The sequence below is a fragment of the Homo sapiens genome, chromosome 5 (assembly GCF_000001405.40).
Source record: "Homo sapiens chromosome 5, GRCh38.p14 Primary Assembly".
Lineage (NCBI taxonomy): Eukaryota > Metazoa > Chordata > Mammalia > Primates > Hominidae > Homo > Homo sapiens.
The window spans coordinates 26404226-26418347 of NC_000005.10; the positions used below are offsets into that span (position 1 = coordinate 26404226).

Here is a 14122-nt window from a genome sequence, read left to right on the forward strand (position 1 = left end):
CCCATAATAGGAGCTAGTGTCTGTTTTTCCACAATTTCAGCTCTTTCTCTACAGGAGATAAGACTCTCACTCAGGGCAATCTTAGCAGAGTTGAGGCTCAGTATCTGCTTCTGAAGCTGGGAGTTAGAATCTCTGAGCTCATTATTTTCTTTTATCACTTTGTCCAGTGAACTTAGGAGCAATCAACTGACTTTATTACGGGTCTTCGTTCTCCACATATGGTCAAAGGTATTATGTATAGAGTCACTAAACTCCTTGCCTCTCATGAGCAGTGCAACAAGAGTGTCAAATGCATTTATTTTGCATAACTCTCTAAACAATTCATGCCAAGGACTATCGGTGTTCTCCATACTATTATAAGTAGTGTCCTTAGCATTTTGGGGTCTAATCATATTAAGCAGCAACTCCAGAAAACTCAAAAACCAATGAAATAACTCCACCCTTAATATTGTTTCCTCTAGAACCACTCCTGGTACCAAAATCTCTATTAGTCAGTGTTCTCTAGAGGGACAGAGCTAATTGGATAGATATACACATAAAGGAGCATTTATTAAGTAGTATTAACTCACATGATCCCAAAGTCCCTCAATAGTCTGTCTGCAAGCTGAAGAGCAAGGAAGCCAGTCTGAGTCCCAAAGCCAAAGAACTTGGAGTCCAATGTTCGAGGGCAGGAAGCATCCAGCCGGGGAGAAAGATGCAGGATGGGAGGCTAAGCCAGTCTAAGCTTTTCAAGTTTTTCTGCCTGATTTATATCCTGGCCACTCTGGCAGCTGATTAGATGGTGCCCACCCAGAATAAGGTCAGGTCTATCTTTCCCAGCCCACTTACTCAAATATTAAACTCCTTTGACAACACCCTCACAGACACACCCAAGATCAATACTTTGCATCCTTCAATACAATCAAGTTGATAGTATTAAACATCACAACCTCAAACTGTTTATTAGTGAAATAGCATACTACTGTGAAACTCATGTTTCACAGGGAGACAAATGAATTGGATATTAAGAAACAATTAAATTAAATTGAGATTAAAATTCAATAACATTGTATTAAAATACAGTATGTCAGTGCTTATTATAACTAAGACATTCTTAAGACAAACATCATAGCCTTAAATATATACATATATTACAAAAATTATATACATTTTCCAAAGTTAATTACCAATACCTAATGAAAGATCCAGGAAGCCCAGTGAACACTAAGCAGAAGAAGTCAATAAATCTATACAAACACATATTTTATTTAAATTACGAAGAACCAAATGCAAAGATACAATTTGAAAGAAGAGAGAAAACAATGACCAAAAACTTACCTACAAAGTAGTAAGAATGAGAATTACATTGAACTTCTCTTAATAAACTATTCAAATAAGATGAGAATGCAGTGTTTTCAGTAGAATAGCTGTGGAACATTTATGGTTATGGTTGCAGGAGAAGGATGGTCATATCTGTTTCTCTTATTACACGTTTCTTCTAGTTCATATTCAAGGGTTACAGGCTCTAGGTAAATTCTTATTGGATCAGCCACTAACATCTTCTGAATTCTAAATTACTATCTGAAGGTATGCTAAATTCTTTATCCATAAAATTTTCTATAAAACTAGATTTTTTGGAAAATAGCATTAAAGGCAACAAAATGAAAAAAAAGATAATGGTGGAAAAATATCTCAGGATGAAAAGCATCTTCCCATATAATTATAGGCAAACCCCATCTTTTCACAACAATACTAGCCTTCTACAGCTTCACATTCAAGAGAAATAACTGAGTGATAGTACATCTGATGGGCTCCTGTCTTTGATGCTATGAAAACAATTTAAAAAATCCTCCAAATATATTAATAATAAATAACACCATTTCAAATATTCCAACTGATTTGGATTAATGCTTATGAAGCATGATTTTAGATGTCTGCTTAGTAATTCTTGTATGCAGCCTATATATTTCTCTGGCATTTATCTAACCCATCACTATGGAACATTGTGATATTTAGTCAGCTCTCTTGATACATGGCCTATTTGATCTGGATCCTCAAGTATCCTGCCCAGATAGAATTTAGATGGTGTTTTTAATCACCATCTAGTACTGACATTTTATTACGCCATTCCAGTGAGCTCTTCCTTCTTCTTTTCCATGAGTGATATATGAGGTTTTCTTATGGCAGAGAATGAAAAGATTCTTTATAAATTTCATCTTCAGTAAGAGACTTCTCTCTTAATACATATTTCATACGCTATAGAAGGCAATCTACCTTTTTCTTGGAGCACCTTATCAGAATTGAAAATTACATTGGCCATCTCCTGTTTGATGATGTCATAATCCAAAAATTATATATACATACAAGGAATGGTAGACTGCCAAACATTTCATTTCTCTCCTCAAACTGTGCCTGCATGTTAATGTGACATAGCTTTTAAGAAAGCTATTAATAACACAAAATAACAGACAGACAAAGAAAACTTGCATCATAAAAAAAACAAAAAACCTTCAATTCTGGTGTCCTATGATATTTACATGGAAAAATATGTTTATGTTTTGCATGTTAAATTTATTTGGTATGAAGAATCACTAATTTTAACCCACACATAACTATTTGCTTAGTATTATAATTAGCTGCTCCATTCACCAACTTTTGCTTTTAAACATGCTTCATAGTTATTTTCAATAAGGCGTATGTTCTTGGATTAATTTTCTTTTCCTAAGAGAAAATACATTTTTAGAATCAAGCCTTTGTTCTTCATATGTCTCTGAGTTAAATACATAGGTTTTTATCTATTAGTGTTTAAATTAAAGTATCTTGAAATGTACCAAGATATGTTCAAAAGAATTCATGAAGGTCATCAATTGTTGAATTGAATTTTAAAATTTTAATAATATGTGGGCATTCATTTATATAATTACTGATAATCTTAAGTGAAAGGCAAAATATCAAATATAAATGTGCTGGTTGAATCAGTTTAGTACCAACAACAGACTTAATATTTCACCTCAATTCAATAAATACTCCTTGGGCTCCTTCTGACTTTAAATCTACATGATAATAGTTGTATGTAAGAGGTAATAACTCCTACCAAAATGATTACACCCAGGGCTTTCTCTTCAAGATATTGGTGACAAAAGGATTCAACCCCAAACTCATCTTTCAATGAAAGCTGATTTTTTTTAAATTAAAACACATGATTTTCTAACTTAACTTTTGTAAAGTATATATTCCAACTTTGTGCCATTTTTAATTCAATTGATTGTTTCTCAATTATTTATGGGAGCTGATTTCTATGTTATCATTACTAATCTTTTTCAAACACAATAGTACATATCTCTTTCATTATTGTAACTTGCCCTTTGATTCTCCTAATTGTGAAATTTTGATGCTTATTCTTAATGTTACTGAAGTTCAATTTATTAATATTATCCTTCAAAGTCATTCCTTTTGTAATTTTAACTATATCAAGTTCAAAAAAGATATTCTAATCATATGATCAATACTGAATTGATTAATTAGTAGTTTTTTCATATAGCAATGTAAAACTCATAATTTATTTTATTTATATAAAGCTTTTCAATTCATCCTTCACTATTTATTTTTGGAAAGGACACTTCTCCCCCATTGTAATTTACAGGAATGTTTTTATAACTTTGATGACTATACATGTATTTATCTATATCTGGACTAACTTCCCAGGTCCTTTGGTCAATTTTTTTTTATATTTACATCATCATCACCTTGTTTTAATTATTGATACTTAATGATAATTTTCAATATATGGTCCTATACATCATCCAACATTACTTTTCTTTTCCCAAGAATGTTTTTGCTATGACCTTAGTGGTTCTATAGTCACTTTAGGTCAATATGTTATTTTCCACCCATATTTAAAATGAGCCTACTAAATCCTAGCAAAAAGCCTTTTGGAATATTTCTGGGAATTTAATTGAACTCATACGTTATTTCATGGGAATGAAATATGCGTCCAGCTCACTTATTGATGAAAATCATCTCTTCACATCTAATCCTAGCTTTATATAGCATCATATTCTAAGGCAATCACTGAGTGGTGGCATATCTGATTGGGTGCTTTCTTTGAGGCAAACATGCCAAAAATTAAGTAAATGTAAATAAAGCCTACAAACACATTAATGATTAATTAATAATGAATTTAAGTAATAATAAAGAATTCAAAGCATTTCCACTTATTTAAAATAATGCTTTTGTAGCACTGATATTTTTACAGTATTGACACTTTCAGACCATGACGATAATATACTCCTACATTTTTAATTAGTTTATATCATTTTTTGGAGGATAGCCTATATTTAGTAAAATGTATAACATGAAATAATATTATGTATATATGTTAATAATTTGCTACCTACTAATCCTTACCAAAAAAATTTTCCAGCATCCCATTAGGTTTCCTGGCACACATTATTAGTCTATAGCTCCTGGCCCAGTATAACCACTCTTCTGACTTCCACAAGTATCAATTTGTTATGACCCTTTGTGAAAATAATTAAATAGAATCATCAAACATGTACTATTTTATTTGTGGCCCCCATCACTCAAAATAACATTTTTGAATTTCATTCATGGTGTCATGTGAACACATATACATATACATATGCATATACATATAAAGTATTTTTATTTAATATTTATTTGTGTAGCTTATCAAAATTTATTTATCCATTGGTATGTTAGTGGGAATTTTGGTTGTTTTCCATTTTTGAATTATATGAACTAAGTTTAAGTGTGGGCAAAGTTGAAACACCACTTCATTTAGATGACTAAATTCTTTATTTAATCAATAATTTTTGAAAAGTTAATCTTCTATAGGATCTCTTCCTTCTGGCATGATGATGTATTTCTCAGCCTATTTCACTTTACTGTAGCCTTTTAACTCAGATAAATTTAAATAAATATATACCATGCCCAGTTTTCTCCTTGCACTTCTGGTTTTCCCAAATGAAATATTGTAATTTTATAGCAAAGAAGTTATATAACTTATTTGCAAATACAGAAGTGGGGGAAATTATAATGATTAATGGGTGTCTATGAATTGATACATGGAACTAATCCTGCTATACTATCTTCCACCCTCCAGGGTTGAGAGAAGAAACACTTACGAGAATATCGTACATAAAAATCTCTCTACCACAGTCTTTGTATGTTCGGTATGGTTACATGTTCACATCTCTGACTGCAATCAATATATTGATAATTATCACTTTATCAAAGACCATATTCAAGCATGTGCTTGATTATTCTTTCTTCCATATGACTACTGTTTGATGTGCTCTCAATTGAAACATCCCACACATAGTAAATATCCTTAATGTTATTAAACTATGAGGGATTTGGCGTTGAAATACTATTGTTGCATATTTTGTTAAATTTTGTGTCACTTTTTGATGTTGTTGATATGGCTTGGCTTTGCGGTCCCACCCAAATCTCATCCTGAGTTGTAGTTTCCATAATCTCCATGTATTGTGGGAGGGACACACTGGGAAGTAATTGAATCATGGGGGCAGTTAACCCCATGCTGGTCTCGTCATAGTGAGTTCTCATGTAATCTGGTGGTTTTATAAGGGGCTTTCCCCCTTTGGCTTGGTACTTCTCTCTCCTGCCACCATGTGAATAAGGACATGTTTGCTTCCCCTTGTGCCATAATTGTAAGTTTCCTGAGGCCTTTCCAACCATTAGAACTGCGACTGGTTAAACCTCTTTTCTTTATAAGCTACCAAGTCTTAAGTATTTCTTCACAGCAGTGTGAGAATGGATTAATACAATAAATTGGTACCAAGAGTGGGGTGCTGCAGTAAGGATACTCAAAAATGTGGAGGTGACTTTGGAACTGGGTAACAGGCAGAGGTTGGGACAGTTTGGAGGACTCAGAAGAAGATAGGAAAATGTGGGAAAATTTGGAACTTCTTAGAGACTTGTTGAATGGCTTTGACTAAAATGCTATGGACAAGGAAGTCCAGGCAGAGGTGGTCTCAAATGGAGATGAGGAACTTATTTGGAAATGGAATAAAGGTGATTCTTGTTATGTTTTGGCAAACAGACTGCTGGCGTTTTGCCCCTGCCCTAGAGATCTTTGGAACTTTGAAATTTAGAGAGATGATTTAGGTTATCTGGTGGAAGAAATTTCTAAGCAGCAAATTGTGTGAGAGGAAGCAGAGCATAAACATTTGGAAAATTTGCAGCCTGATGATGTGAGATAAAATAAAAACCCATTTTCTGGGGAGAAATTATAGCCAGCAACAGAAATTTGCATAAGCTATGATAAGTTGAATGTCAGTTGTCAAGTCAATGGGCAAAATGTCTTGAGGGCATGTCAGAGACCGTCGTGACAACTCCTCCAACCAAAGGCCTGGAGCCTAGGAAGAAAAAATGGTTTCCTGGGCTAGGCCCAGGGCCCCCTGCTCTGTGTGTCCTTGGGACATGGTGCCCTATGTTCAGCTGCTTCTGCTCTAGACATGTCTAAAAGGAGCCAAGGTACAGCTTGGTACACTGCTTTTCAGTGTGCAAGCCCCAAGCCTTGGCTGCTTCCATGTGGTGTTGACCCTGTGGGTGAACATAAGTCAAGAATTGGGGTTTGGGAACCTCTGCCTAGATTTTAGGGAGTGCATGGAAATGCCTGGATGTCCAGGCAGAAGTTTGCTGCAGGGGTGGAACCCTCGTGGAGAATATTTGCTAGGGAGCGCAGAAGGGAAATATGGAGTTGGCACTCCCACACAGAGTCCCTACCAGGGTACTGCCTAGTGGAGCTGTGAGAAGACGGCCACCATTCTGCAGACCCCAGAATGCTAGATCCACTGACAGCTTGCACCATGCACCTGGAAAAGCCATAGGCACTCAATGCCAGCTTGTTAAAGCAGTTGGAAGAGGGGCTGCACCCTACTAAGCCACAGAGTTGGAGCTGCCCAAGGCCGTGGGAGCCCACTTTTAGCATCAGCATGCCCTGGATGTGAGACATGGAGTCAAAAGAGATTATTTTAAAACTTTAAGGTTTAATGACTGCTCTATTGGATTTTGGACTTGTGTAGGCCCTGTGGTCCCATTGTTTTGGCAAATTTCTCCCATTTGGAACAAGTGTATTTACCCAATGTCTGTACCCCCATTGTATCTAGGAAGTAACTAACTTGCTTTTGATTTTACAGGCTCATAGGTGGCTTGCCTTGTCTCAGATGAGACTTTGAACTTGGACTTTTGGGTTAATGCTGGAATGAGCTAAGACTTTAAGGGACTGTTGAAAAGGCATGATTGTCTTTTGAAATGTGAGAAAGAAGAGATTTGGGAGGGTCTAGGGTTGGAAAGATATGCTTTGGCTCTGTGTTCCCACCCAAATCTTATCTTGAATTGTAGTTCCCATAATCTCCATATGTCATTGAGAGACCTGAAGGGAGGTAATTGAATCATGGGGGCAGTTACTCCCATGCTCTTTTCTTGACAGTGAGTGAGTCGTGAGATCTGATGGTTTTATATGAGGCTTTTCCCATTTTGCTTGGCATGTCTCTCTCCTGCTGCCATATGAAGAAAAACATATTTGCTTCTCCTTCTGCCATGATCGTAAATTTCCTGAGGCCTCTCAAGCCATGTAGAACTGTGAGCCAAATAAACCTCTTTCCTTTATAAATTTCCCAGTCTCGGATATTTCTTCATCACAGTATGAAAACAGACTAATACAACTAAACTAAATAAAGAAGTCAAATATCATTCTCTCCTTTTCATTTTCTCTAAGATATTTGACATTATTGCAATTGTCTGTATGGATAATTAGTACACATTTACCTTGAAAGCATAGTGCCTTTCTGAGATGACACTTAAATGTAGGTATACATATATACATAATTATAATTACAATATGATAAATTATATTTGTTTAAAATGTACACTTTGTAAAATTTGGCATATGTCTATATCTGTAGAACGATCACAACAATAAGGATACCAAATATATCCATTACCATCACAAGTACCTTGGTGGCCCTTTGTAATAATCCCTCCCACCTTCTCCTTCCTAGCAAACTAATTTCTACAACTGACGTTCTCTCTCTCACTATAGATTAGATTGCATTGTCTCAAATTTATACAAATTGATTTTTTTTTTGCTAGGAGTATGTATTCTGAGAATTTACAATTTTTTTTCATAGCTCATTACTGAGTAGAAGTAAAATGCACGGATATACAACAGTATGCTTATTGTTAGACATTTGTTGTTGCTAATTTTTGATTTTCATTCCCCTAAAAGTGGTGTAGAAATTCATGTATGAGTATTTGTGTAGACACATACTTTCATTACTTTTGAATGAATACCTAGGAGTGAGACATGTAGATAATATCATAGGTGTAGGTTTACTGCTGAACTGTTTTTCCATTTGCATCTCATCAGTAGGATATGAGACTTCCAATTGTTCTTCATCCTTATCAACACTAGTATAACCAGACTTTTAATTTTTACACTTTCCAAATATATGTAGTGATATCACATTGCGTATTAAATTTGCATTTCCTTAAAGACTAATGCAGTGAAGCATCTTTGTCTGTCTTATGTACCATTTCATTATCATGTTTGCTAAGCTATCAGTTCAAATATTGTGCCCATGTTTAATTTCATTTTCTTTTAATTTTAGTTTTAGATGTTTTTGCATTCTTGATGTTTTATTAGATATTTAATTTGCAAATATTTTTTCTAAGAATATACCTGTAATTTCATCCTTTTAAAACTGTCTTTCAATAAGCAGGTATTAATTTTGATGAAATTCAAATTATCAAATATTTTTAGTTGTATACATCTGTGCTTTGATATTTATTATTTTCTTTCTCCTTCTACTTAGGATTAAATTTGTTACATTTTCTATTTCCTTAAGTTTGTTACAATGATCATTGATTTGAGAACTTTTCTATTTTTCTTAATATAGTGGTGTATTAATGTAAATTTACCCCATATATTGTTTTAGTGGCACCCCACAAATGTTGATATATTGTGTTATTATTTTAATTCAGTTAAAATAAATTCTAATGTCCTTTTTGTATATCTTCTTTGATTAGAGTTATATAAGAGTATTATTTGATATCACAATATTTGATATTTTTAATGTAACTTCCTGTTATTTATTTCTCTTTTAATTATGTAGTGTTCAGACAACATACATTTCAATGATTGCATTATTTTATATATAATAATACTTGTTTCAAGATCCCAAATATGGTGTATCTTGTTAATTTTCCTGAAAGGACTTGAAAATAGTCAGTTTTTGATTAAATGTTCTAAATAATTAGATCAGGTTGAGCTGGTTGATAGTGTTGATAACATCTTTTGTGCTCTAATTGATTTTCTGTTCGCTTGTTCTATCAATTGTTGTAAAGGGGTACTGAAATCTCCCACTATAATTTTTGATTTGTTTATTTCTGCTTGCAACCATATCTTTTTATTTTAACCTCATGTATCTTGAAATTATATATTTATGTTCAAAATGTCTAGAATTAATAAGTTTTCTTGATAATTTGACTACTTTGTCCTTATGAAATGACTCTCTTTTACTGCTGTTAATATATATTAACTGAAATACAGCTTTATGCCTTAATATAGCCATTGCAGATTTGTGTTAATTATTATTATTGTAGTAATATTTTCATTTTTTTCTTTTAATCTATATGAATATCTAGAATCGAAATTGGTACCTTTAGCTGGCATATGTTTGATCCCCTTTTAAAATATCAGACATCTGCTTTTAGTTGGGTATGTTAAAAATATTTCCATTTAAGGGAATTATTTATATAATTTGATTAAAATATACAATCTTAATAATTGTTTACTATTTGTCTCATCTATTTTTTTCCCTTTTCTTCATCTTCCTTCTTTTGCAATTTTTTCTGGTTCCAACTTTGCTATTTTTGTAGTTTTTTTAACTTTAACTTTTTTTGCATTATTGTATTGGTTGGTTAAGGAATTGGTGTAAGCTAGGTGTGGAGGCTCATGCCTATAATACCAGCACTTTGGAAGGCCAAGGTAGATGGATCACTTGAGGTCAGGAGTTCGAGACCAGCCTGGGCAACATGGCAAAACCCCGTCTCTACTAAAAATACTAAACTTAGCCAGGTATGATGGAATACACCTGTAATCCCAGCTACTCAGGAGACTGAGGCATGGGAATCACTTGAAGTCTGGAGGCGGAGGCTGCAGTGAGCCAAGATCACACCACTGCATTCCAGCCTGGGTGACAGAGTGACACTATGTGGGGAAAAAAAATCATAGTATGTATTCCTTTTAGGGTTCTTAATTGTAGTGTTTTCTCTGCATTTTATTATGCATACACACATATCCATTCATAAATTTAACACATTAAACTTAGGAGATATTTGACACTTTCATATATGAAGGAAAAAACAAATTTTTATATGAAGATTTCTTTTCTATGCATAAAATTTTAGATTGACTTCCTGTTTTTAAAAACTTGTTTTATTTCATGAATATATTGTGGACCTATTTTCATGCTGTAATACATTATCCTTTACTTAGAATTTGTTTATTCATTTTTAACTGCTATAAATTGTACATTATACAGTCATGTGCCACACAACATATCAGTCAACAATGAACCATATCATAATAGGAAGCTAAAAATTTTATATTGCCTAGGAATACAATAGGTGTTGTGATGTCTTAGTGCCACACATTGCCCATGTGTTTCTGGGGATGCCAATGTAAACAAATCTACTGCACTGCCAGTTTTGTAAAAGTATAGCAGATACAATTATAGATAGTACACAATACTTGGTAACGATAATAAATGACTGTGTTGCTGATTTATGTATTTACTATGCTGTACTTTTTATTGTTATTTAGAAATAAACCTCTACTTTTTAAAAATAAAAGTTCACTGTAAAACAGTCTCAGGCAGATCCTTTAAGAGGTATTCCAGAAGACGTTGTTATCATAGGAGATGACAGTGTCATGCAAGTTATTGCCCATGATGACTTTCCAGTAGGACAAGAAGTGGAGGTGGAAGATAGTGATACTGATGATCCCCATCCTGTGTAGGGCTAGGCTGGTGTGTGTGTAGTAGTATTAACAAAAAAATGTTGTTAACAAAAAAAGTTTAAAAAGTAAAACTAAAGTAGAAAAAAGCTTATAGAAAATGGATATCAACAAAGAAAATAGCTGTACAATGTGTTTGTGTTTTAAGCTAAGTGTTATTACAAAAGATTCTGAAGTGTTTTAAAAGTTAAAACTGTATAAAGTAAAGAAGCTACAGCCAGGTAAAGTTAATTTATTATTGAAGAAAGAAAACTATGTCTTATAATTCAGTGTTGCCTAAGTGTACAGTGTTTACAAAGTTTACAGTAACATACAATAATGTTCTAGATCTTCACATTCACTCACCTCTCACTCACTGACTCACTGGAAGCAATTTCTGATCCTACATGCTCCTTTCATCACAAATGTCTATATGAGTTTATCATCTTTTATCTTTTAAAGCATATTTTTACTGTACACTTTATATGTTTAGATAGAAAAATATTAACCATTATGTTACAATTGCCTACAGTATTCAGTACAGTAACATGTTATACAGATTTGTAGCCTGAGGGCAGTAGGCTACACAATATAGCCTAGATGTGTAGTGGACTATACCATCTAGGTGTTTTTACAAACACTCTATGATGTCTGTGTCATGGGATCCTTGGGGTGTCACTTTACCAGCCAGAAACCTCTGTGGCCGGGAGTGCCTTCTTCCTGAAGGTGCTGTGCCTGCTGGTTTTGTTTTGCCCACTCAACCCAGCAGGCTGCACTTGTCTTGCTCTAAAGGCCTGGATGCAACACTTTCCAAGGGCAAGCCAGGTGTGGAGAGGCGAGGTGTGTGTGGGTGAGCAAGCACAGGGTCCAACCACTACACACAGCCAGGAACAGTGGCTGCTTCGGCCGGGCAGGCAGCTCCAGGCTCCGGCACAGGCACCAGCTTTGTGCGAGGCTGCAACTGGATCAGATGTAGGGCACAGGGCTTCCGCTGTCATCACCTACGTCTGGAGGTGGGGAATGCAGTGGTGCCTAGAGGCTTGGACATGCCAAGAACTGTAGAGCACCAAGGAGGATGTTCCAGCCCTGGCTTGGGGAAGATCCTACAGGTCTGGGCTTCCCCAAAGCCCACAGCCCTTCTCTCCTCATTGCCAGCAACAGGGCAAGTGGGGGTGCGTGTTTCAACCCTATTTTTATTACAGCTCTTTCAGTCCTGCCACTCAGTGGGACCAACATTTGTCTCACATCTAGGAAGAATGAGATAGACAGACAATGGAGAGTGTGCAAGGCAGAGAGGAGCTTCACTGAGTGACAGAGCAGCTCTCAGGAGACATGAAGTAGTTTCTTTCTACAGGCACGTTGTCACAAGTGTCCAGCTCTCAGCCCAGAGGAGACCCGCAGTGAGTAGCTCCTTTCCACAGCAGATCGTCCAACGAGTCAAGGATACTTGAAGTGGGTAGCACCCTTCCACAGCTGGTAGTCCTGACATTTGTTTGAGTCTGGATGATTCCAGGGGTTTTTATGGGCTCAGAAGGGAAGAAGTGTATGCCAATTGGTCCATGGGCAACCATGGGAGGGCCTGGAAAAAGCACCGTAATTTCTCACTTTGGGTCAAGGACTCGACCTGGAACTGGCAGCCCGGCCCCCAGACTTCAGGCCATCACCGGCTTTAAGGTGGGATTTCACCAAGGACCTGCCCTTTTCCATACAGGAACCTGTCTGCCATGGCACCTAGACTGTTTGTGCCAAGGTCTGCCTGCAGGACCTCCCCGAGTCACTCTCATGCCCCCTTGGTCTCCCTAATGTGCTTGTCAGCACCAGAAGTCCAGATGGGGTTGAGGCAGCCGGGGGCTGGCATGTCAGCGTAGCCCTGAGTGTGCACACAAGGCCATGTTGCAACAGTGCCCAGGCTCAGCCACAACTTTGCTCTGTCCTGGAGCAGGCAGCAGGAATGGGAGCAGGCACTTTCAAGAATGGAGGGGCATGGGGCTTCCCGGGCTCCTGGGAGCACAGAGATGCCTGTATCTGGAGCCATGGCTAAGCAGCTATGGCTGCCTCCAGAAGCGAGGGGCTTCCATCCTGCCAACTCAGTGGAGGGCAGGACTCCCGCTTGTCCTCAGCTCCCAGCAGTCCCACAGAGCACACAACCCTGGCTGCACCTTCCCCACTGCAGTCGGCATCTTCACAGGAGCTGCACCAGACAGGCCGCAGCTGCCATGATTTGCACAATGATGAAATCACCTAATAATGCATTTCTCAGAATATACCCTTGTAGTTAAATAAGACATGATTGTATTAATAAAGTACACCCATCATTTCTTCTTTTACTTTAAGGTTTTAGGCTTCATGCATTTTCACAATTAGCAAAAGATATTTCTGCAATTTATATTCTAATATATGATTTCTTTTGAATATGTGGTAGGGCTTCTAGAGTATTTGGCCAGAAGTGAAAGTGCTATTCTGTCAGTATGCATAGCTTTATGTTTACTACAAATTACTAAATTTATATGTGACATTTTTTATCCAATTCATACTTCCAATGGGACTTTATAAGAGTTCCTGTTTTTTCACATATCTTGAAATCTTAGTATTTTCAGAATTACAATGTATTCCTCTGGTAAATGTGAAATAGTATCACATAATATGTTTATTTGCATTTTCTGGGTTCCTATTGTATTTATTTTTTTTTCAAATTTGTTGTTGGAAATATAGGATCTCTTTACTGTAACTTTTTGTTTATAGTATTTTATCATAATTATCTTGGTTGTTTTTCACTTTGTCTTAGACTTGTATTTTATTTATGCCTTATAAATATTATTTTTTTTCTCAAGCATGGAAAATTAAAATCTTATCTTTTGTGGAATAATGCTGTCTTCAATTTTGTCTTTTGTTTTGATATGTTTTAAAATTATTATTTAGGCCTGGTGTGGTGGCTCACAACTATAATCCCAGAACTTTGGGAAGCTGAAGCAGAAGAATTACTTTACTTGAGGCCAGGAATTTGTGAACCACCTGGGCAACATAGGGTGAACCTCTCTCTACTAAAAGTAAAAAAAAAAAAAAAAAAAAAATTAGCCAGGCATGGTAGCATGGTGGTGT

The 14122-nt window shown here is 35.9% G+C and overlaps 1 annotated feature.

The window, feature by feature from the left end:
• Nucleotides 13019–13518: an enhancer, noted in NCBI's record as "H3K4me1 hESC enhancer chr5:26417353-26417852 (GRCh37/hg19 assembly coordinates)". NCBI's record gives its function as "activates a minimal SCP1, AML or CMV promoter by ChIP-STARR-seq in primed H9 embryonic stem cells {active_cell/tissue: H9 hESC(primed)}" and the evidence as "EXISTENCE:reporter gene assay evidence [ECO:0000049][PMID:30033119]".